General features: G+C 35.6%; 1 protein-coding gene across 3 annotated transcripts in view; it reads left to right on the forward strand.

The window, feature by feature from the left end:
* The window catches only part of AGPS (alkylglycerone phosphate synthase), a 151062-nt gene that overhangs the window by 115665 nt on the left and 10283 nt on the right, over positions 1-25114 (forward strand). For all 3 annotated transcript variants that reach the window (NM_003659.4, XM_011512041.3, XM_047446104.1), the window contains exons 17-19: positions 5382-5471; positions 12832-12931; positions 15311-15368. In NM_003659.4, the coding sequence (NP_003650.1) occupies positions 5382-5471; positions 12832-12931; positions 15311-15368 (248 nt within the window). The remainder of the gene's footprint in view (positions 1-5381; positions 5472-12831; positions 12932-15310; positions 15369-25114) is intronic.

Consider the following 25114-nt stretch of genomic DNA (forward strand, 5'->3'; position numbering starts at 1 on the left):
TTGTATGTGTAAAAATGGGAATTTAGGTGGTTTATAAAGGAAATTTAGTTTAGGAAATTATGTACAATTTCTGTTTTTAAATTTAAGCAAAATGTTGATACTGGAGCATATTTTAGGAAATGGCCCAAATAAGATAGATGGAAATAGATTTTAGAAGGGTTTCTTTACTGGAAATACATACATACAGTATTGGTTAGTGACTTAATAAAAACTGATTAGGAAATGCGAAATGGTTTATTAATAGACCTGTGAGTTGTATTATAACTCATCCAGTAATAAAAAAAATCCTCAAAGAGATTGTCTATACAATCCCTTATTCAAAATGCTCAGGACCAGAAGTGTTTGAGATTTTAGAATATTTGTATTATATATTTACCAGTTGAGCATCCCAAATCTGGAAATTTCACTGGAAATCACTGCAGCATTTCTTTTGATCATCATGTTGGTACTCAAAAACTCTCAGATTTGGGGGCATTTCACATTTTGGTTTTTTGCAGGATATTCAACCTGTATATTTTTATTTGTTTCTAGTATACTGATATTTTACTTTTCTTTATAAAATTTATAAAGTACTTTAAATCTACAATGAAGTGTATAGGACGGAACAATTCCCTGTGAATCTACTTCTTAGATTGCATATCTTAATATTTTGGTTTCTTCCAATCCCTCTTTTTTCCCCCAGAAAACTTTTTACTTTTCTACATGCAGTCATCATCTACTGAGTTAGTACGCTGGTGTTCGTATTCCATGCATTGTTAGCTAGTAACCCAGTTTATGTTATACTATCACTCAGTCATTCACAATTTTTTTTATTTTTTAAGTCAGATTTCTCAAGTTGAAATGTTATTCACAAATTTTGATGCTAAATTTTAACAAGGGGAATAAATCCTTTCAATAAAAAAATTATCAAGTCATCAGCCTTTGAGTAGTAGAAATAGTTTGGCAGCGGCTGGGCGCGGTGGCTCACGCCTATAATCCCAGGACTTTGGGAGGCCGAGACGGGCAGATCACGAGGTCAGGAGATCGAGACCATCCTGGCTAACACGGTGAAACCTCGTCTCTACTGAAAATACAAAAAATTAGCTGGGCCTGGTGGCGGGCGTCTGTAGTCCCAGCTACTCGGCATGCTGAGGCAGGAGAGTGGTGTGAACCCGGGAGGCGGGGCTTGCAGTGAGCCGAGATCATGTCACTGCACTCCAGCCTGGGCGACACAGCGAGACTCCATCTCAAAAAAAAAAAAAAAAGAAGCAGTTTGGCAGCTATTCATAGTGGTCTCAAAGATCTTTTTTTTAGTATGAAATTAGTTTTTATTTTTAACTAAAAATAAATGCTTAACATCTTTCCAAAATCAAAACTAAGGACGAATACTTAGAAAAAAAGGTGGAAACATATTTTTCCTTCCCTGGAGAAACCAGTAAGGCAGACATTTTAACGGAGCTTGTTTTTTTCCACAGGACTAGTCTACGCAACAGAATCTCTCTCCAGCCCTTTTTCTATGTCAGTTCTGTCTACCTGGCAGGAAAAACCAAAAGAAACCCTGAAACAACCCCTCCCCACAAATACAACACAAGACAAGGGACTTGAAAAGTTGGGGAAAACCTTTTAACGCGTCTAAGACCATTGTAGTGTTTAATTCCTCTCTTTGGGTATCTTAGCCAGTTTGGCCTGCTATACAGAGCACCTTAGACTGGGTAGCTTAAATGTTCTTAGACAAGAAACAATTATTTCTTACAGCTCTGGAGGCTTGGAGTCTGAGATCAGGATGTTAACATGGTTGGGGTTTTGGTGAAGGCCTTCTTCCTGGTTTTATAGATGGCCATCTTCTTAGTAATACCTGCACCTGGAGGAAAGCAGAGAGAGAGAGAAAGCAAGCCCTCTCATATCTTTTTATAAAGCACTCATCCCATTAATGCAGCTCCACCCACAGGACCTAATGACCCACCTTCTAATACCATCTAACTGGGGCTTAGGATTTCAATATATGAATTTTGAGAGGGATGCAAACATTCAGTCCAAATCACCGGGACAGTGGATTAGTGCAATGCTACCTCTTAAGAGTTAATGAATTTCCTTGTCATCAGTTAGTACTGATGATTGACATCTTGTTTTTTTATTCTTCCAACTGTGGAAGCTAATAATGTGCAATTTTTTTTTGTTTTTCATCTATTCTTTATATATACTTACATATTTATTTGACACACTGATAATTTCTGTTTTATGCAGTTACACATTTGTTTTCCTTTAAAACAATTTCTTCAGCCGAAGTTTTAATAAATAATATTAATGGAAGGCAACTACATTTTTATGTAAAATTTACTTGTTGACAACCATTTAGCAATTTTCTTTTTCTTTCAAACCTTTAACTAGCTAGAGGACATGTTTGCAGTAGCCCATGGGATCACGGTCTTTTAACTTTCACACATTATTAGATTATTGGCTTTTTCATATATAAGCCACTTAAGGGATTACCGGTCATACTAGTTTTTGTGTATTCCTAAGTGTCCCATCCTATTGTGTTCCATCCCATCCCTACCACAATGGCTGCACCTGTTAGGTTCTCAATGAATATTCTTCATAGATTCTTATGAATGAGCTTGGGAATAATTTGAGAGTACAGTCTATAAAAATAGATATTTTAAGGGTTGGAGATATACATTTTTTGTTGTTGTTGTTGTTGTTGAGATGGGATCTCGCTCTGTCACCCAGGCCAGAGTGCAGTGACGCTTATCACGGCTCACTGCAGCCTTGACTGCCTGGGCTCAAATGATTCTCCCATCTTGGCCTCCTAGCTAGCTAGGATCCCAGGTGCACGTCACCATGCTTGGCTAATTTTTTTTGTTTGTAGAGATGAGGTCTCATTATGTTGCCCAGGCTGGTCTTGAACCCCTGGGCTCAAGCGATCCTCCTGCATTGGCCTTCGAAAGTGCTGAGATTACAGGCATGAGCCACTGTGCCTAGCCGATGTTACAGATTTTGGAGACACCAGCAAGTCTTCTGATTAAAACCAAGAAAGTGGATACAAACACTTATAGATAGTATGGAGTGAAGGAAAAAAAAGAAGGCCTAAGAAAGAGGTCCAGGGAACCTCAACATTTAAGGTTACAAACAAAACAAAAGGTGGCAAAGTGTATTGAATAATAATATCTAGAGGATGTAGAGGTAATCCAATGATGTAAAAAAAGCCCAGGGAAGTTTTTTTCAGGGAGGAAATGGTCAAGTGTTAAATTTGCTAATAAGTAAGAATTTGAAAATATGCAGTTATGTTTCTGTCCTATAAAAGGATTGATCCAAGTGGACTGTGTTAGCCTCTTATCAAGTTCTGTGAGAGAATACTTTCAGAAACCTTTCCCTAAAAATCATTTACTGAAAGTGTCCCATTGTGGGTTATAACTGTTCAGTCTGGTCCTTTCTCCATCTCCTTTTCATTATTCAACTATCAGTGAGGGTTTAGATATAAGGAGCTCTTAATATTTTCCTGTTTACTATTGTATTTAAGATGATTGGATACATTTAAGTGCATTTAAACTGAAATGCAGTTCACACAGTGCCATAACTTGCAAAGGACTGTAACAGCAGATGATTGTATTCTTAGATTTTTTTTAGACTACTTAGCTGTAGCACTTAAATTTCATTTTCTAGAGCCAACATAAAGAACTTGTTCCAAAGAAAAGAACTTACTACTTTTATAAATTTGTAATATACGTTAACTCTTATAAATATTAAAGCTTAATAGATTTTATTTATATTTAAATATTTGTTTTATAAGGTATATATTCAAAATAAAGACATATTAAATATCAGTCATCTAAATGTTTTATGAGATTTTTTTTAAATGTGCATCCTTGCCATGCATAAGTGATGCATAGATAACATTGATAAGTCATGTATACCTGCAACTCTCATAAATTAAAGAATTTAACTTAAGAACATTGTTTTATAAAATTAGATTTTATAAAACTTTCAGATACTGTATTCATAAAGATAAAAAATGTGACATGCTAATAAGACACTAAAGCCCTTTTTGTATTTATATTTTAATCATATACTGTTTGTTCTTATTGACAATATGGATAACTTTTATAAAGTATGATCTGTTTAAATGCTACTGTTTTTTATCAAAGTGGTTCTCATACAGTCAAGTCTGCGTCTTGAGACTAGAGATAAGCCAACCTTTTGAGTTTTTCTGGTATCATTTCAAGTCTCATGATGCTAAACAAATCAAGGTTTAAAACACAGAATCGGTGTTATTATGTGGCCAGGATATTTATTGGGGAATAAAATGGGACTTTAATATCAAATAGTCCAGCATAACACATTAATACTTTACATCGTTTGTCTTCAGTAGATCTTTGTCAAACTGGATTTCAGCTTGTGAGTAAGCTATCGAACATTTGATATAACATCATGATTATAATTTATTTTGAAAGACAGTGCCTTGCTCTGTTGCCCAGGCTGGAGTGCAGTAGTGCGATGTTGGCTCACTGCAACCTCAACCTCCCAGGCTCAAGCAGTCCTCCTGTCTCAGCCTCCCAAGTAGCTGGGACTACAGACATGCACCACCTTGCCCAACTAATTTTTTTGATTTTTAGTAGAGACAAGGTCTCACTATATTGCCCAGGCTAGTAACATCATGATTATTAATTGAATCATTATTATTATTATTATTATTTTATTTGAGACAGAGTCTTGTTCTGTTACCCAGGCTGGAGTGCAGTGGCGCAACCATGGCTCACTGTAGTCCTGCCCTCCTGGGCTCCAGCGATTCTCCCACCTCAGCCTCCTGAGTAGCTGGGACTGCAGGTGTGTGCCACCATGCCTGGATAATTTTTTAATATTTTGTAGAGATAGGGTCTCACTGTTGCCCAGGCTAGTCTCAAACTCCTGGGCTCAAGCAGTCCTCTGGCCTCGGCTTCCTGAAGTGCTGGGATAACAGGTGTGAGCCATGCACCCAGCCTGAGTTATTTCTAAATTAAGGAAAACTTCTTAGACATGGGTAAAGATTGGTATTCCTGTAACCTAGAATCGAATTTTCATTAACATCTTTATAGCTTTTTTAAAGCTCTTAAAATCTTATAATCAAATTGATTTTGAAATCAGGCTTTCCTAAGTGTAGGAAACCACATTCAGGAGACTTGAGTGTGTTCTTGTGACTTTCTGTTTTCCTTAAGTCAAAAAAAGAAAAAACTTTCTTCTTTTTGAAGTTAGGAATGGAGGGCTCAATTTGAGTGATCAGGGCTCTTTTCCATTCTTGAAAGGACAACTATGAAAGCTTTAGCTAAGAAAATGTCAGACTTGAATGATGCCAGATTAACCAACGTTTATTAGCACTTGTGTAGTTCTCACTTGAAAACTTAATATTGTATTCATTTATCTTTTTTTAGGGTGGTAGATCTCTGTAGAAATGTAAAAGAAAGAATAACAAGGGAATGCAAAGAGAAGGGTGTTCAGTTTGCTCCTTTTTCTACATGCAGGTAAGTTTTAAAAATTGTTCTTATACTTCTTATTCTGAAAAAAATGTTTTTTTTAATCAAGGGGGGGAATATAATTTTCCAGCTGAGAAAAAGCTTCAGTCTATTACATTTGGCCAGCTTTCCTAACCTTCACTTACCACCTTGTTAGGATTGTGCCACTGGAATTTTACAGTAGTCCTGAGCCTTTTAGGAGTAGGACACCCTTCTGTGAGTAAGCCTTCCCTGCCATCTGGGTGGCATGGCAGTGAAGAGCCAGGTGTCTGGACTCCTGGAAAAAGAAGAGGACTACTCTACTCACTGAAACTATAAATTATATAGTCAAGAAATTATAAATTATATACATACTCAACATGACTCTGAAGAGTGAAGGCAGTGTTTTGTTGTTTACTAGTAATTTAATCTCTTCAAGCTCTAATATTATCAGTAAAATAGTGGTAATGCCATTTCTTCATGGGACTGTTGTAAAAATGAAATGAGAAAGCATATGAAAAAACTGTTAGGTTCTGCTGTAGTATTGTTTTGACATAATTACATTAAGCTTGAGGTAGATAATCCATACTAGTATTAGTAAGGAAAATTTGTATATTTCCCTTTCCTTTCCAATGACAAGTCCTCATTAAGGCATTCAGTTGTTAAGCTTACTTGCTCCTTATAGCATGATAATTTGCATATATTTGTTTTCCAAGACTAGAAATATTTCTGTATTCTTTAAACTGCTAATTGTATGTGTGTGTGTTTTTGTTTTTGTCTTTTTTCTATCTTTTCTATTGTCTTATCTTGTACTTTCCTAGTACTAGTGTTGTGTTTCTTAGTTTTCCTTATTGTTCCCATTGGGAAGAGATACCCTTTAGAATTTGCTAAATTGCACTTCTGCAAGGTAAGAAAGTAAAATTCTAACATGAGATCTGAGGAAAGCATCTTTCTTACACCTTAAATGTTCATTTCAATCAAAAGGATCTCCTTAAAGTAGCCGTTTCTGCTTCTGTGTGGGAGACACTGTCCATGTTTAACAAGCCTTGCAGAAAGTACTAAGTCATCTGTATATTAACATGTTTTAAGCAAGTACACTGACGATAGGATCAGAGATTATAAAAGCTGAAAAAGTAGATTTTAGAGATTATTTGCTGGGCATTCGAGATATCTGAAGGAAAGGCAAAGAGAGGTCTTGTTCTCTGTAGTAAAAAGCTTACAATGGGATTAAGCTAATGTCGACATAGTGGGTGTAAGAATGTCATGTTACTTTTAATTTATTTTAAATTTGGGGGTATCTTTAACAATGCACCTTTTATCTTAAAGTCCTTAAAATCTAAGACAAAAATTTTTGTGTTTATATTATCAACCCAAACTGATGCTTCATTTTTCTCTTGATAGCCCAGTCTTTTAGCAGTCAGCTCTCTTTTATTGTAATCCTGAAAACAAATCAGACATAATAATCCAAAAGCTATTTGTTACCATTAGATTTTGAAACATTTTAGATAGTCAAATCTATTCTTGTGTAGTTGAGAAATTTTTATTCCTTTGTTTTTTTGAATGGTAACTTAACAGATTTTACCCTTCCCCCTTCTTCCTTCTGCCCCCAAGTTCCTGTTCAACATCTCTTAAGAACCCCACCCCCGCTGTAACATTATGAAACTATCGTGATAAACCACTACCTATGGAAAATGATTAGGAAGTAAAATATTCTGCCTTAGGGCACATTCTGTAATTACACTTAAATCTAGGTTCTTCAGAATGTATTCATGAGGCCTAAGAATCTTCATTCTGTATTGTAGATAAGTAGAATTAGTATATTTAGACTGAATTGGCCATATGTCATTTTTATTAAATAGCAGTAGCTATGTTTTAAGAATGGTTTTCCTATAAAAGCTTATGTGTTCAGTTTCTGTGACCATCTTATAAAACCAGTTAGAATATGCAAAGCCTAGTTACTTGAGTGGCTTTGATAAATAAGACTTTTATGGTTCTTATGGCTCATACTTGATTAAACTAACATTTAATTAGAATTTGATTTCAGTTTAGTTTGGTTTGACCTGCTTAGTAGTGGCTAAGGAGATTATTCCATGTTGAATATGTGAGATGTATTTTTTAAACCAGTTTTTTATCAGGTGCTATGCTCACTACCTGGGTGATAGGATCCATACTCCAAACCTCAGCATCACGCAATATTCCCACTTAACAAACGTGTGCATAGACCCCCATATCTAAAATCAAAGTTGAAATAACATTTTACAAAGCTGTTCCAAAGTTATTTAAAAATAATTATGGATCTATTTAAAATCAAGGATCCTAAGAAAAATAACTCAGGTGTAGGGTACATTTATTGAGTTCATTTATTTCATTTTTGTCCATTAAAATGTACTTTGTACATTGGAATAGAAATTCCAGTCCAAACTTTTCTGAAGACGTTATATGGGAAGTAATTGCTAGTCATTGAGTCTAATACAAATAAAGTACTCCAAAAAGTAGGGAGCACAAAAAAATTTTTTTAATTAAAGAATAATGTAGTGACTTTGACAACCACGCTATTACTTGTCCAGATGATTTTGAAAGAGGTTAGTGTTTAAGTGTCTTAAATGATAGAGTTGATCTATTGTAAAAGGTGTTAGATCTAAGTCACTTTCTGAAATGGACCCAAATTAAGGTATTCCATAAGGTGTTTTTCATTATTTGGACTTGTCTGAGATACTAATCAATCAGGCCCATCAAGCTTTGTTATGACTTCAGTAATCTGTTCATCTACTGAAAACTGAACTGTGTAATACATAGATGCTGGATTTGTTTGAAAGATGATAATGCTCTATTAATATTTAGTTACATCTATTTATGAATGTTAGTGATTCTCTTATGAGTGATATATATTTTACTAATTTCTGCAAGTTCGTTTCATTCATTTATCCTTCACACTTTATTTGAATTTGGTTATTCCTAATGATAGTGCCCTTGGAGTTAAAATGGTTCTCCGTTGTTTCTTAAACTTTGTATATCTGGTACTTAAAATGTAAATATTCAAGGGATCTTTTTTTTATGAGGGTGAATTAACACTAGAAGAGAAACACAGCTGGCAAATTGACAGTAGCATTGTTAAACAGTTCATTTCTTCTGTTCTGAGGCACCTAACATTTGGCCTAAAATGCGATTAAAATTGTAGATTAGATTCTATTTGTATTGTGTAGTAAAAAGAGTATTTCCTCTGCATTTGCTCCTTCTGTTAAATTAAATTCTTTGTGGGAGCCTCTGTAAATTGCATATGGAGATTTGACTATGATTACCTTACCTCCCTTTTAAATGCTTTCCTAATTGCATTTTGAAAGCTCAGATATATATTATATATATGATTTAATAATCTAACATTCTTGATATCTTTTGTATATACACATTCAACATGTATAAATATTGAGTCATAGTATTTTAAGGCTATGTCACTGCATTTGGTACAATCATCCTATTTGTTTTCCAAAGGCTTACTAATTATTAATGTAAACTTAGTGAAGATGCTATATTTCACTCAGTCTGATCATATTTGGTATTTGGGCATTTCTCCCATTTCTTAGTTTTTAATTCTCATATCTCATACTTATTTCTTTTAACTTCGAGGGAGTTTGGAAAACTTAACTGATCACCACGTTTCATCTGGTCTGTTTAGTGACTGACTTTAAGTGCAGTATACTTAGTTTTTTAAAAAAGAATCCCTCTTGATGGAGATGGGCCAATTGGAAAAACATTTACATTGCTTTTAAATTTCTAATTTTGGGGGAGGTGTAACTAGACTTAAAAAAAAATAGTATTGTACAAATATTTCCTGTGTACCCTTTACTCATCTTCCTCAAATGCTGATATCTCATGTAATTATAGTATGATTATCAAAACCAAAAAATTAGTGTTGTTTCAATATGATTACCTAACTCACAAACCTTTCTTTATCATTTGTCCTACTGATATCTTTATCTTTCATAACCTTCATACATTTGAAGAATACTGGCCAGTTATCTTGTAAAACATCTCTCAGTTTGAGTTTGTCTGATGTTTTCTTGTGATCAAATTCAAGTTACACATTTCAGCAAGATTACCTCAGAAGTGATAGTGAAGTGCTCTTCATGGTAGATCATCTCAGAAGAAGCATGATATTTATTAAGTCTCATTATTGGTGACATTAACTTAGACTACTTGGTTAGGGTGGTACCTGCCAGGTTTCTCCACTCTACAATTACTATTTTTCCCCATTGTATTTAAAAAAATATCTTATGGCTGGGCACAGTGGCTCACGCCTGTAATACCAGCACTTTGGGAGGCTGAGGTGGGTGGATCACTTGAGGTCAGGAGTTTGAGACCAGCCTGGCCAACATGATGAAACCCCGTCTCTACTAAAAATACAAAAAAATTAGCCAGGTGTGGTGGCAGGCGCCTGTAATCCCAGCAATTCGGGAGGCTGAGGTAGGAGAATCGCTTGAACCCGGGAGATGGAGGTTGCAGTGAGCCAAGATAGTGCCACTACACTCCAGCCTGGGCAACAATAGCAAAACTACATCTCAAAAGAAAAAAAAACCCAAAAACCTTATGGGGAGAAACTTTGAGACTATGCAAATATCCTGTTTCTTATATCATCTCCTAATCACATCAATATCCCACTGTTGATTCTTGATTACAGCAGTTATAATTGTGATACTTGTAAATGGTGATTTTCTATTTTAATCATTCATTTTACATTTATCAATTGGAATTCACTGTAAAGAAGAGCTTTCCTCTCCTCTCTTTTTCTGCCCGCCCCCCACCCCTTGCCACTATCTATCTGTCTGTATATGAGTCTATCAGTAGGGACTCATAGACATTTTATTGTCTGGAATATAGCCATTATTGTCATTATTCACTTTGTTGCTCAGATTTTCCCAGTGTGGCTATTGGGAGTTTCTTTAAGTTGGCTTCTGTGTCCTTTTGATCTGGGAAAGTAGGTTTTTGAAGAGGAAGAAAATGGGCGCACATACTTAGGAAGAGTCAGTGATTGAGGCAAGGTGTGAAGATATGAGGCCTAGGGAGAAAGGTGAGAAGATATGAGGCCTAGGGAGAAAGAAAAGCAGGTCTGTGGGCCACAGAGGGTCTGTGTTCTGTAGAGTTGGTGCTGAGTGAAGGTATATCTCCTCAAGCTTTCACAGCAGTGATAGCCGTTGCTCCTTTGATATTGGTTTCTTCCTCAAGTTCTTTGGTTTTTCTTATTCCTGATGTCAGAATTGTAGTTATTTTCAGCTCATTTTTCCCTGCTTTTTTCCCTTAATCTTTTTGTTCATCTGGTTCCTCTACTCATGGATGTCTAGCTTTTTTTACTCTCCTTTGTTATCTCCTGGTTGATTTCTCCTATATCTTAGTAATATTGGCATTTGTTTTACCTAGAACAATATCTTATGTTTCTTTGTCAGTCTCCATTTAGGTATGCCTTTCCAGAACACTTTTCCCAATCCGACCTATCCCAATTTTCTTATTCTTTGTATAGACTGATTTTTAAGCTGCATAAGCTAATTGATGGTGTCTGTCTTTATGTTCTCTCAGCATTCTTCAATCTCGTTTGTCATTCTGTATCTTTAGACTATGTCATATTTTGGCTATATACAGCTTAGAAGAGTTTCTTCTAGTGCATTTAAATTATCTGTGTAGAAAAAAATATTATTGATATTTATTTTGTTGTCATTTATTTTTAAAGTTATAGCCAGAACTGAACAGTGTCTTTGTTTTGGTCTCAACTGCAGTGATTTGCTTTTTTTCTACCCAGAATCTTTAAGTCTGTTGAGCCAGGAGAATCCAAACAAATGATGAGTTCATAGTATTGTTGCCAGAGTGTGACAGGAAAAGGGTCCCAGGATGATCCAGACCTCAGGAGAAGGTTCTTGGATCTCACACAAGAAAGAATTCAGGGCAAGTCCACAGTGCAAAGTGAAAGCAAGTTTATCAGCAAAGTAAAGGAATAAAAGAATGACTACTCCATAGACAGAGCTGCCCCAAGGTCTGCTGATTGCCCATTTTTATGGTTGTTTCTTGATGATAAGCTAAACAAGGAGTGGATTATTCATGCCTCCCCTTTTTAGACCATATAGGGTAACTTCCTGATGTTGCCTTGGCATTTGTAAACTGACATGGCACTGGTGGGAGTGTAGGTGTAGCAGTGAGGATGACCAGAGGTCACTCTCCTGGCCATCTTGGTTTTGGTGGGATTTAGCTGGCTTCTTTACTGCAATCTGTTTTATCAGCAAGGTCTTTATGACCTGTATCTTGTGCTGACTTCCTATCTCATCTTGTGACTTAGAATGGCTTAACCCTCTGGGAATGCAGCCCAGTAGGTAGGTTTCAGCCTCATTTTACCCAGCTCCTATTTAAGATGCAGTTGCTCTGATTCACATGCCTGACAAGAGGACTTAATGTACTTTGAAGAGATTATAATTTGCCCATTCTCTATCAATATGGATTTTTTAAATAATGAAAATTGACTTTAGTCAGTGTTTGCATGTCCATATGTATTCTATGCATTTCATGTTCCTATCCTCAGCAGTGACGGAGCCAATGAAAGGAACCAGGTTTCTTGTTTTGAGTCTAATTTTGCCTTTTTCAAGGGGCAGATGTTTTGCATCCCATCTGTTTACTGTGGCAGTACAAAATGTAGTTTTCACTTGCACATATGGAGCTCATTGTGTGGTCCTTTGGCAGGAAAACACGCTCTTGAAAAGTAATGGAGTTGTACTATTTGTAGTATGGAAGTGCCTCAAATTTTGTCTTATACAAGTCACATGAAGAACTTAATTGTGCATAAAATTTGTTAAATAGCAGAAAGAGAAAAAGTTAGTGTTACTTTTATTGTCAAGATATGTATGTTTTTAAGTAATTTTGTTAAATGTCATTTTGATTATGCAATTTAAAACAATGAATACTCATGCTTACCTGACTATATATATATTGTTTTCACACATGCTGCTGATAGTTCTCATTACTTCTAGATAACAAAACAATAAAATCAGTGAAAATGGCATTTCATCATAAAATTCTGATACAATGTATAAAAGTTTTTGGGTTATTTCCCAATAGAAGTTTTAGTAACATGGGACAGACATGAAAAAGATTGAATATGTACCTATAATATTGACTAATTTGGTACTTCAGTGAAGGTAAAATTCTTGTTTTGCACTGCGTCCTCAGTTCACCTGTTTTGGCGGACAACTCTAAAGCAAGCCAATGTGTATTCCTTCCATGGAGTAGAGGCTGGGAAGAAACTGAGATTATATCTTAAACTAATCATTTGGGTCGTCTTGACTTTCAGTTTCTAGATGTTAAATCTGATTTCACTTAACTTAAAGCCCCTGTGGGGATTTTGTTTGTTTTTTAGGGTGACGCAGACTTACGATGCAGGTGCTTGTATCTACTTCTATTTTGCCTTTAACTACAGGGGAATTAGTGACCCACTGACCGTATTTGAACAAACTGAGGTAATTTTGCATACCTGCATATAGCTTTTACAGCTGTTGATTAATTTCAATAAATTTTACTGTCAATTTATGAATTTTAAGTTGAGTCTCTTTAATCACACATGGTTTGCCTAGCTGTTAGCCCTTAGAAATGAAAAGCATATTTGTTTCCCTGGCTTATGTACTGAATTGTGAGTCTAAAATTAAGGTACTGTACACCTAGTCTGTGATTCTTCAGTTGTTACAGTACATAATAGCTGATTAAATTAAATAACAATTAGGAATTCATTAAATTAAATAACTATATAGGAATCTTAGATATCACTTTCACAGCCCACTCATTTCCACATGGTGGTTGCTGTTGAGGTCAGCAGCCCTAATGCCCTTGGTCTGTGTTGTTGTAATGTCATTCTAGATTTGTAATTTTTTTATATGCTATAGCTGTAAGTGGGTGCTTTGGGTTCATTAGCTAGCAGTTTCTATTACTTTCTTAAAGAGTGTCAAACTGTTTATTTTTATAAAGCTTTCTCTTGATAACCAATATTTCTCCTTATGAGTACGCCTAAACAGACTAGAGTGTGGAGGATCCTGTAGGAAGCTGAGGTTTCTTAAAAACTCAGGTGTTCTACTGTTTTAACTGCATTGCACACCTGCTAAAGCTAATTTCAGTAGCACACTTTTAGACCCAAACTATAGAAAGGGTTTGGTTGGCTTCCTCCTATGCCTCCTCTTTTTTTTTTAAGCAGCTTTTTTGAAGTACAATTCAAGTACAGTAAGCTGTATATATTTAATGTGTACAGTTTTGACATATGTATACACCTGTGAAACCATCACCCCAGTCAGAATAATATCATTCCCAAAAGTCTGAGTACTTTTTTGTCACTTTAGCCTTTCACTGCTTCAGTGTTGCCCTCTGGCTACCCAAATGTCCCTTCTGTACAGTACCACAGAGTGAAATTATTCCTTCTTTCTCAGTCCAAACTGCTGGTCTCTAAGTGCTACTGATCTCAAGTAGCTATTGCTTAATTTAAAGTAATTTGTTAGAGGATATAAATTCTTAGAGCAGGGGAGGGCATATGTATGATTCATTCGGAAAACCCTAAGTAATGAGGGTTTTTTGGAGATGAAGTCTCACTCTGTTGCCCAGGCTGGAGTGCAGTGGCGTGATCTCGGCTCACTGCAACCTCTGCCTCCCGGGTTCAAGCGATTCTCCTGTCTCAGCCTCCTGAGTAGCTGGGATTACTTACAGGCGTGCACCACCATGCCTGGCTAATTTTTTGTATTTTTAGTAGAGACAGGGTTTCACCAGTTGGCCAGGCTGGTCTCAAACTCCTGACCTCAAGTGATCCACCCACCTTGGCCTCCCAAAGTGCTGGGATTACAAGCGTGAGCTACCGCACACAGCCGAGGGTTCTTATAGATTACTTTGCAGTGGGATGTGGTCCGTCTGTCCCACCTGGGCCCTCTCCTACCCTGGCCTAACTCCTGATAGTTTATACATACACAACTGAGTAATTTTGAGAGGCCCAAGGTACTATAGATATTTTACCTCGTAGCCATTATATATTCACGAATCATTAGGAACTGAAGGCAATTCCAGTTTCTGTCATCCTTTTTTACAGTGCTCTTTAGTCATTCTATATTTTGTTACAAGTGTTTATCTTTTCCTACCTGTGTCCTCTATAAGGAGCTTGGTTAGGACCTTACATATTAGGGTAAAACGAGGTTTTTCTTTTCACTCTTAGGTATCCATAAGACTGACAAGTAATTTATCCCAAGTCATTGACCTAAGAAGTGTTCTCCATAAAGGCATTTATGGTTGATTTCTAATAGGTTTAATAAAGACTCTAATAGCTTTATAACTCTGATGCCCACTATATGATATTAGGCAAATAATTTAACCTATCTAAGCCTTATTTTATCTGTGAAATGGGAGTAATTGTAGTTATTTCATAAAGCTATACTGAAAATAAGATACTGCAGGCAAATTACTTGGAACTTTTCTGGTACACTTATAGGAAGCAGTCAGTAAATTTTAGTCACTTTGTTGGTATAATGAGAGATGTTCGTTACTAAGTAGAACCTGACTCTACATTTACAACTTTGCAGTTATTAATATTATTAACAATTTAGTGTGCTGAATGGTCATTTTGTCTTTTTTCCCTAGAATCTCAAAGTGATCTTTAGACATTGTGACTATTCACTAGAAAAAAACTTATGAAGCTAGGCTACTTATTTAATTGCTTTTTAAACACATTTGACCAAAAGAGAGGAAAGTTAGGCTTCTAGTTTATTATTTAACCCAGGAAACATGTGCCTTCTTTGGGAGTTGGGTCTTTTTCTTTCACTGCAAAATGAAATCTAACTAGCAACAATTTGTTGTGTTGTTTCCAAATACAGGCAGCTGCTAGAGAAGAAATCCTTGCTAATGGAGGGAGCCTGTCACATCACCATGGAGGTATTCTTTTTTGGGAGTAGAATTTCTAATATTCTTACTTTAAAAAATATTCAGTTCAGTAAAATGCTAGGGAGAGACATGGTATGAATAATATGAGAGTACTTGAGGTTTCTTTAAAGTTTCTATGTCTTTGAAATAGCTGTTACTGAGGTAGATAGTTAGGTTGTGGTAGTAGCCACTAGAAGCTTACTTTGACACGCCTGCCTAGAAATGGAGCCCAGGCAACCTTCTGAGGTCTCAGGGACCTCATGTTATCAGAGAATAGCCCAGCTTGCCTGGGAGGTACTTGACCATTACAGCAAACGTTTTTAAAGGATGATGGGGAAGAAAACCTACATAAATGTTTTTCAGCCACTATCGGAATGTAGCTGGTCATCAGTTATATAATATATTGAAGGGCTGTTTGTTCTGCCCACCCAAAGCTCAGCAAATTAATCAAGACAGGATATGAGAAAAATCTTTTTTCAAGGTTTTAATGCTGTTTTGTTATTACTTAGTGGTCATTTTGGTAAGTATCGAGTGTTGTCAGAATTTATCACATCACCAATAAAAATTATTACAATATGTCTATCTTTGTTACTAGCATGCTTATGAAAATAATGAGGCAACCCTTTAAAACTTAAACAATGGCCATTCTGTTATTAAAATGGCAATGTTTGAGGTTATCCACTTGTTCTGTAGAATAGAAATTTGTTCTTAATATATCCCTCAATATAATTTGATGCCTAGGAAAATAGAAATGTGTAGATTTTTAAATAGTTTTTAGGAAGCACAGTGACAATAACCACCTAATTTAAAAATTCAACTGCTCTGGACTCCTTATATCCTTTTTTTTCCTGTTTAATTTTCATTCATAGCACTTATTATTATCTAATATGCTGTATATTTGTACTTTTTAAAATTTTGTCTTCCTACTGCAAAGTGAGAATCCATGAGGACAGGAATTCTAGTTTTGTTTGTTGCTATATGGTAGCACCTAGAACAGTGCTTAGCCCCAGTCAGCCCTCCATACATTGATGCAGAATGAATGAAAGAATTCTGTTGGAAAAGGAGTGGACTATGGAAGGTGTGTGTCCATATCATATTCTTACAGCAAGGTCTGGAAAAGATTGCTAATGTTGATGAATAAAGTAGCTCCCAACGTCATTGTGTCAATTTAATCTTTTGCTATACTTTTCTCTTAACCCCCACAAATGAATTCTTAACTTAGCCAATAGCATTGAAGATAATATGCTCCTCTCTCCTTTTTCTATTTATTATCCTTTCATTTGATGGTGGTTCTCATGAATGCTAGCATAACAAAAATGGAAAAGGGAGGGAAATGAATATTAGAAACCTCTCAAGTGGAATTAAAAGCTTCCGATTACTCTAAAAGTCCAAACCTAATTTTGGAAATTTGAATGAGGAGTTACTTAAAGATACTTAGATTTTAGCACCTTCCTGTAAAATTTTCAGAAAGCCATATACATTATTTTAAATATTTTTTATTCTGTTTCAAAATGACACTGTATTAATATTCAGGGAACTTTAATATATATAAATATATCATGAATTATTCGTTTGTTTTTTGTCTAAATTGATTACATGGGACAGAGGAAGCGAAATGATTTAGCCATAATTACTTGTTTGAAGAAAAATTAAAACTTTCCCAGTGTAGCCAACAAATTTGCCCTTTGGTATGTGTCAGCAGCCAATAGTTTACTTTCTCTTTTAAAATCAAGAAATGTGGTTTCTGTGTTTATAATGGTAAATATGGGGGAGAAGTGATTCTGCAAGAGGGTGAGAGCAGCTGAATCATATATATAACAAGGAAATAGAGGCTTAATTGTCTTTAGGTAATTGGTTATTAGATGAGCTGTTTCCTTAATTGTGGGATGATGTTCTCAGTTTATTCAGTCTTTATACAGTGTCAGAAATTCTCTAGAAGTTGGAAATGACCAAATGACTGCATGCATTACAGAGGAAAACCAAACCAACAGTTTTTTCCTCGGCCAGTGACTCTGCTTCTTTAGGGTCTATGAGGAAATTCAAGTCCCTCTAATAGTGTCTATTTGTAAGATGCAGAAAGTGTAATATGGCAGAACTGCTGATTTTACTTATTCAGATGTACCCCAGACACTGAGAGCTTCTTGGTAGGCTCTAACAGAGTCTGTGTAAACATACTTGAAATAATATATTCATAAAGCTGTCATTACAGAAAAAAGGAAATATGCACAAATATAAAATAATAGAATTAACCAACTCTAGTGCAAATCTGTTTGAAACCTGGATTTCATTTGTGAGAGCTATGGTAATAGTCCATTATAGTAATCAATTCACAGAAATAAAAGTTAATTAACAAATAGTTAGAAAATGTTAATTTATAAGATCATGTTTATTCAATTCTTGATCACAAAGCAAATAATGTAAATAGCTTCTTGTCTTTTTTTTTTTTTTTTTTTTGATACTGAGTCTCACTTTATCACCCAGGCTGGAGTGCAGCGGTGCGATCTCAGCTCACTGCAACCACTGCCTCCCAGGTTCAAGTGATTCTCATGCCTCAGCCTTCTGAGTAGCTGGGATTACAGGCATGCGCCACAATTCATGGCTAATTCTTGTATTTTTAGTAGAGACGGGTTTTCACCATGTTGGCCAGGCTGGTCTCGAACTCCTGATCTCAGATGATCCGCCCACCTCAGCCTCCCAAAGTGCTTGTTATATTTTTTGATACAAAGTATGCTTAATACCTTTTAATGTTGTATAATCTGTTTTCCATATTATAAGTACTACTGGTCTACTAGGCAATATGGTTTCAAAGAATGGCAGTCCTTCCCGTGAAGGGCCTTATAGTCCAGTAGAATAAAATATTATACCATTTCAAAAGCTACTGACAAAAACTGATGGGATTATATTATTGCTACTTTAAGGTAAGAGTCTGCCCTTTTCTTTGAAGAGCATTCAAAAGATGCCTTTAATAAACATGTAAATGCTATAGATGCTGAAACAGTGAAGAGAAAGGGGATAGAATAAAGGAAAAGAATTAACATTTATAAAGCTGTGAATATTTGCCTAGGTGTTCTGCATACTTAACCTCTTTTAATTCTGCTTAATGCAGTGGAATAGATATTATTCCTGTCTTTCACATGAAGATGCTAAGGTTCTGAATATAAAGTAACTGGCCCAAAAATCAGTAATAATTGTTAGTGCCAGAATTTGAATTTGAACTCAGGTCTTCCTGCCTCAGTATCCTTGTCCTCTTAATTAAAAGCCTAAAATGTCTGGAATGAGTAAAATCTAAAAAGATTGAAAATGACAGGCTTTGAGAAGAGACATGTAATTAATTTTTTTTTAAATGTATATGGGCTGGGCATGGGGGCTCACACCTGTAATCCCAACACTTTGGGAGGCCTAGGCGGGTGGATTGCTTAAGCTCAGGAGTTCGAGACCAGTCTGGGCAACATGGCAAAACCCCATCTCTACAAAAAATACAAAACTTAGCTGGGCATGGTAGCATGTACCTGTAATCCCAGCTACTCAGGAGGCTGAGGTAGGAGGATTGCTTGACCCTGGGAGGTTGAGGTTGCAGTGAGCCATGATCACATCATTGCACTCCAGCCTGGGTGACAGAGCAAGTCCCTGTCTCAATCAATCAATAAAAGGAAAATAAATATTATACATTACTATTTTTATTTTAAAATATAAAATCTGTTTCTTTAGTGAATTAAAATTTTAATTTCCTCATCATAGATATTTTTATTGTTTTCTCAGTTCTTTCCCATAAGTCAATTTTACTTTCTGGTTGCTTTTATACTTCCTGATAGTAGGTTCCTAACATGTCAGCAGTATCAGGTAATAGAACAAATGGCGGTCATATCATGTTACATTAAAGCTATGTGTATAAGTTATGTGCATTTTTCAGGTTCTAGGTTTATAGGCCTTCTTTTATTGAAGACTCCCAATTTGGTGAAATAATTTATTTTTTAGGAATTATTGGGTTGAAGTTGAATCTAGCAACGTTTGATGGCATATTAATTTATTTAGAGGTTTTGCCTCATTTAAATAGAAATCTTTTATGTCTATCCTATTTCTTGTATTTTTATTTTCTATGTGGTCAAAATATGACCGCATGGAAACAGACTCTGAAATACCTGGTTTTCTCTAGTGCTTAGAAAAAGAAACTTTGATAAGTCTGAATACAAAACATACTTTAGGTATGCTGATAAAATGAAGATGCTTTCCCTTTTCTATTTTTTTTCTCTTCTAAATTGCTAAATATTGGAGTCTTCCAGGGCTCAGCCCTCAGACCTTCATTTCTCTATATTCACTCATTTATTTGATGATTATCTCAAGTTTCACAATTTAAAAGACCATCTGTATGCTAACTCCCAGATATCAAAAGATAACACCTCTATACCACTACCCTAGTTGCAATCACTATTTTCTGCAGTAGCCTCCTAACTGGTCTTTCTTCCACTCTGCTACTGTATTCTCATTTCTCTTGCTGCTCGATTAATCTGTTAAAAAAATCAATGGTTTCTTCTCACATTCAGAACAAAATGAAAACTCCTTATCATGACCTTCAAGGATACATTGTATATCACTCTGTCCTCAGCTTTGATTACTTTGTACCTCTAGCAGCATTGGCCTTCTTGCTATTCCTCAGACATACTAATCCCTTTTCCCATTCAAGGCCTTTGCTGTTTGTTCCCTCTTTTTATAATGTTCTTTCTTTTGTCCTCTCCTTCAGATATTTGCATGACTCACTTTCTACCATTGTTTAGGTCTCTAATAAAAATGTCACCTTCTTAGAGGGATCTTCCCTGTCCTCTTGTGTAGTTTCTGTAATCCCCATTTGAATTAAATTTATTGAGGTTAATGACTTTATCTTGTTTGTCACTGTATTTCTCACTCCCTAAACAGTGACTGGCTGCTCTACATAGTTCAACATCATAAATGCTCAATGAATATGTTAAATGAGTGGATAAGTGCATGCCCAAATAAATGCTCACAGAATTTGAGCAGTTTTGCAAATTCTCAAATAGCTCTGAATCTTGCATATTAATCCTTTTTTTTTTTTTTTTTTTTTTTGAGATGGAGTTTCACTCTTGTTGCCCAGGCTGGAGTGCAATGGTGTGATCTCCACTCACTGCAACCTCTGCCTCCCGGGTTCAAGCTATTCTCCTGCCTCAGCCTCCCGAGTAGCTGGGATTACAGGCTCCCGCCACCACACCCAGCTAATTTTTTGTATTTTTAGTAGAGACGGGGTTTCACCATGTTGGCCAGGCTGGTCTTGAACTCCTGACCTCAGGTGATCCACCTGTCTCAGCCTCCCAAAGTGCTGGGATTACAGGCATGAGCCACCACTCCCGGCCGCATATTATTCTTTTATATTAGAACAGCAGTAGTTGGCTGTGGTTCACACCTGCATTCCAAACACTTTGGGAGGCCCAGGCAGAAAGAGTGCTTGAGCCCAGGAGTTTGAGACAGTCTGCGCAACATAGCAAGACTCTATCTCTACAAAAACTAAGAAAAAAAACTAGCTCACTGTGGTGGCACATGCCTATAGTCCTAACTACTTGGGAAGCTGGGGCGGGAAGATGGCTTGAGCCCAGGAGGTTAAGGTTGCAGTGAGCTGGCATCGCACCACTGCACTCCAGCATGGGTGATAGAGAGTAAGATCCTGTCTCTTAAAAAAAAAGAAAAGAAAAAAGGCAGTAGTCTTGTAGTTAATTTAGCTTAACATTTGGTAACTAGGCCTAAATATTGAATAGAGGGTCATATTTAGTCATAGAAAGTCTCAGTTTATTCTCTAATATTTCTGGGAAAGCATATTAGCAGAGTGAGTTAGTTATTCACTGGAGAAGTAGGGTAAAATAATGTGCATTTTTCTGCAACTCCATACCACCAACCATTTAGTGTTCTTCCATAAATGCATTAAGTATGTAAGGTTTCATTCGAACTTTTTGTCTTAAAACCAATATAAATTTGAGTGGCTGAACAACAGAGGGGAAATAATGTAGGCTATGGAATCAAATCTATATTGGATTCCTGGTTTTGCATTTAACTGTGTGACCTTAGGGAAATAATTTCTCTGACTTACACTTTCCTCACCTGCAAAATGGGAATAATGGTACCTGTCTCATATGTTTATTGCAACACTTAACGTGTTAATCTATGTAAAACATCTAAATGCCTTACATTTAGTAAGTGCTTAAAAAACAATAGTTTTGTTTGTTTGTTTGTTTGTTTTTAATAATAGCAATAAACAGCACCAGGTGGCAATCTGTTTGGCACTCTTGCCTTAACCATTAAAGAAAGGATTACAGTGTATTTGAGAAAGATCCATACATTCAAGGGATATGATTCAACAATAGTTTTAACACTTCATTTATAAACTACAGTTGATCTCACCCTATAGGAAAGTTTCTTACAATCAGCATGAAAGAAAAATAAATTTCCTTCACAGTATTGGCTATGAAATTTGCTATCGAAGAATGTTATTTTCATAATAGCTTTTCTGTTTATAGGTAATCATATAATTTGTGTATTTCAAATGCCTGCTGCTATTCAGTATAATTGCATAAAGCAGAAACCTTTTCAACATAAATTTTAAATAATGTTTTTAGTTACCTTACTAAACTTATTCAATGCTAGAGCTTTTGAGAGATCACTTATTTTTATGTATAGAAAAGATTTTTCTTGATTTGCACCCTGAACTTAAAACTCAAGTTGAACTCATAGTAGCGTCTTTATTTACTGACCTTCAGGCAGTGTCATGACACTCTCAGTACCACTTTTGAGTTCCAGAGTAAAAGGGCCAGGGGTTGGGAGAATATTGATGCAATTTCTCTTAGAGGGTTTGGCCTGTAATTGTGATTAATAACAGTTGCTTTCACTATCTGGCAACAGGCTGGTTTGTCTGCCTACAATCATGCTGTGATAAATGGAGCTATGTTAACTCTGGTTTTGTGTATCAGAGAAAACAGATGTAGTCTGGAACTGGAGGCTATAGGAAATATAAAGCCTACTTAACTTAATCTTCATAGTGCTTGTTTTTGTAACTGATGAGCTGGTCAGTTTCAATAGCAAAGTTTATGTCAGCCATGTATTTAATTTCAATTTATGACTTAAGTTTTTAAGTTGTTCATTTGCTAAAATCATACCTAAGTCCTTGTCAGGAAGTTAAAAACCTTGATTAAGTATAACCAGCCTTAGTTTAAATATTGATTTTTTTTACCTAACCAAAATTACTCCCTATTATAATTATAGGGCAGCTGCTGTTACCTTTTTTTGGTAGTCTTACCAGAATCTAATAGTATTAGAAACTTTAAAAGTAAAAGGAAACTACTCAAAGAAGCTGAACAAAAAAATCAGTTTAGGGCCATTTGTTAATTTGTAGTGTGAAACAAAAGGCATATAGATTGGAAAGGAGGAAGTATAACTATCCCTATTTGTAGGTGCCATTATTGACTATATAGAAAATCCCAAAGAATGTACAAAAACAAAGTCAGCAAGATTTCAGGATACAAGATCACACACAAAAATCAATTACATTTCTAAATACTAACAATTAAGCATATAGAAACCAAATCTAAAATATAATACCACTTGCAGTTGTTCCAAAGAAAATGAAATAGGCATAAATCTAGCAAAATATATACCGAATTTGTATTCTGAAAATTACAGAATCTTGATGAAAGAAATCAAAAAAGACCTAAATAAATGAAGAGACATACAGTATTCATGGTTTGGTAGAAAACTCAACATAGTAAAGCTGTCAGTTCTTTCCAAATTGATCTATCTGTTTAGTGCATTTTCTGCCAAAATTTCAGCAAGATGTTTAAATAGATATAGAAAATATTATTCTAAAATTTATATGGTAAGGAGAAGGAACTAGACAGCTAAAACAAATTTGAAAAAATGAATAAAGTAAAAGCAGTCAATCTACCTTATTTCAAGACTTACTATATAGTTACAGTAGTCATGACTGTGTGTTATTGGAGGAGGACACATAGATCAGTGGAACAGAATAGAGAACCCAGAAATAGAGCACACAAATATGCCAAGCTGAGTTTGACGAAAGTACAAAAGCAATCTAGCGGAGGAAGCATAGCTTTTTCAACAAATAGTACTGGGCGGAGGGGGCGGGGGGAAGAACTCTGACCTAAATCTCATACCTATACAAAAATTTAACTCAAAATGAATAATGAACTTAAAAGTAAAACAAAACTATAAAACCTTTAGAAAAATTTAAAGAATATCTTCAGGATCTAGAGCCAGGCAAAGAATTCTTAGACCGGACACTAAAAGTACAATTTATAAAAAATTGATAAACTGGATTTTATCAAAATTAGAAACTTTTGCTCTATGAAGGACTCTGTTAGGATAAAAAGATAGGTTATAGAGTAGGAGAAAATATGTGCAAACCTTATATCCAAGAAAAGACATATCTATTATATATAAATCTCATAGCTCATTAGTAAAAAGCAAATACTTTAATTAGAAAATAGGCAAGAGACATGAAGAAAAATTTCACTGAAGAAGATATACAGATGGCACATAATCACATGAAAAAATGTTCAACATCGTTAGCTATTAGGGAAATGAAAATTAAAGCCACAGGAGATATCACTACACACCTATCAGAATGGCTAAAATAAAAAAATAGTGACAATATCAAATTCTGCCAATGATGCAGAGAAACTGAATCACTCGTACATTGCTTGGGGGAATGTAAAGTGGTACAGCCATTCTGGAAAACAGTTTGGCAGTTTCTTATGAAACTGAACATGTAATCACCACTCAACCCAGCAAATGCACATGTGAGCATTTGTACCAGAGAAATGAAAACTTATGTTCACATAAAAACCTTAACATAAATATTCATAGCAGCTTTATTCATAATAGCATAATAGACCCAAACTGGAAACAGCCCAGATGTCCTTCAGCTGGTGAATGGCTGCCTACACATACTGTGGTACATCCATACCATAGGAATACTACTCAGCAATAAATAAAAACAATGAACTATCGATACATGCAACAACTTGGAATAACTCTCCAGGGAATTATGTTAAGTGAATAAAATCCATCCCAAAAGGTTACATACTGCCTGGTTCTATTTCTATAACATTTTTGAAATGACAAAATCTTAAGAGTAAAAAAAAGATTAGTGATTTCCAAAAGTTGAGGCTGGAGAGGGTGTGACTGTAAACAGCGCAGGGATCCTTAGTTTGATAGAACTGTTCTTGACTATATCAGTGTCAATGTCTTATTCCTTTGATAGCTACCAGATGAGTTTAGCCTTTCCAACACTGAATCTTTATCAGATTACTATAAGATAGAAAATTTGTTTTGCCTTTTAATTTTTTCAGTTTCTTTGACTGGCCTTTTCTAACAAAACGTATATGTTGATTATAATATTTTTCCATTGAAGCAATGTTGTAGTTAGAGTGTAAGAACATACTGTGGAAACCAACTTAACCCACAATTTAACTGAACATTAAACTATTAATATTTCAGCTGTAGCATAGGTTAAACAGATTTGAGAGCTGACAGAAAAATCTGTAGCAAGAAGATACTGATCCCTGCTCCCCACCCCACCATCCCCCCACCCCTGTGTGACTACAGGGGCCAAGCCCAAGACAAAAGGGCCAGGGACAACATTGTGTTGGCTGTCTCTTACCACATGCTGTACCTTTAGTAGCTTCTAGCCTCAGGTATATCACCAGGAGAGTGAGTATAGGTGGCTTGGATAATATCACTTA

Source organism: Homo sapiens, chromosome 2 (assembly GCF_000001405.40).
Source record: "Homo sapiens chromosome 2, GRCh38.p14 Primary Assembly".
In the NCBI taxonomy this organism is placed as follows: domain Eukaryota; kingdom Metazoa; phylum Chordata; class Mammalia; order Primates; family Hominidae; genus Homo; species Homo sapiens.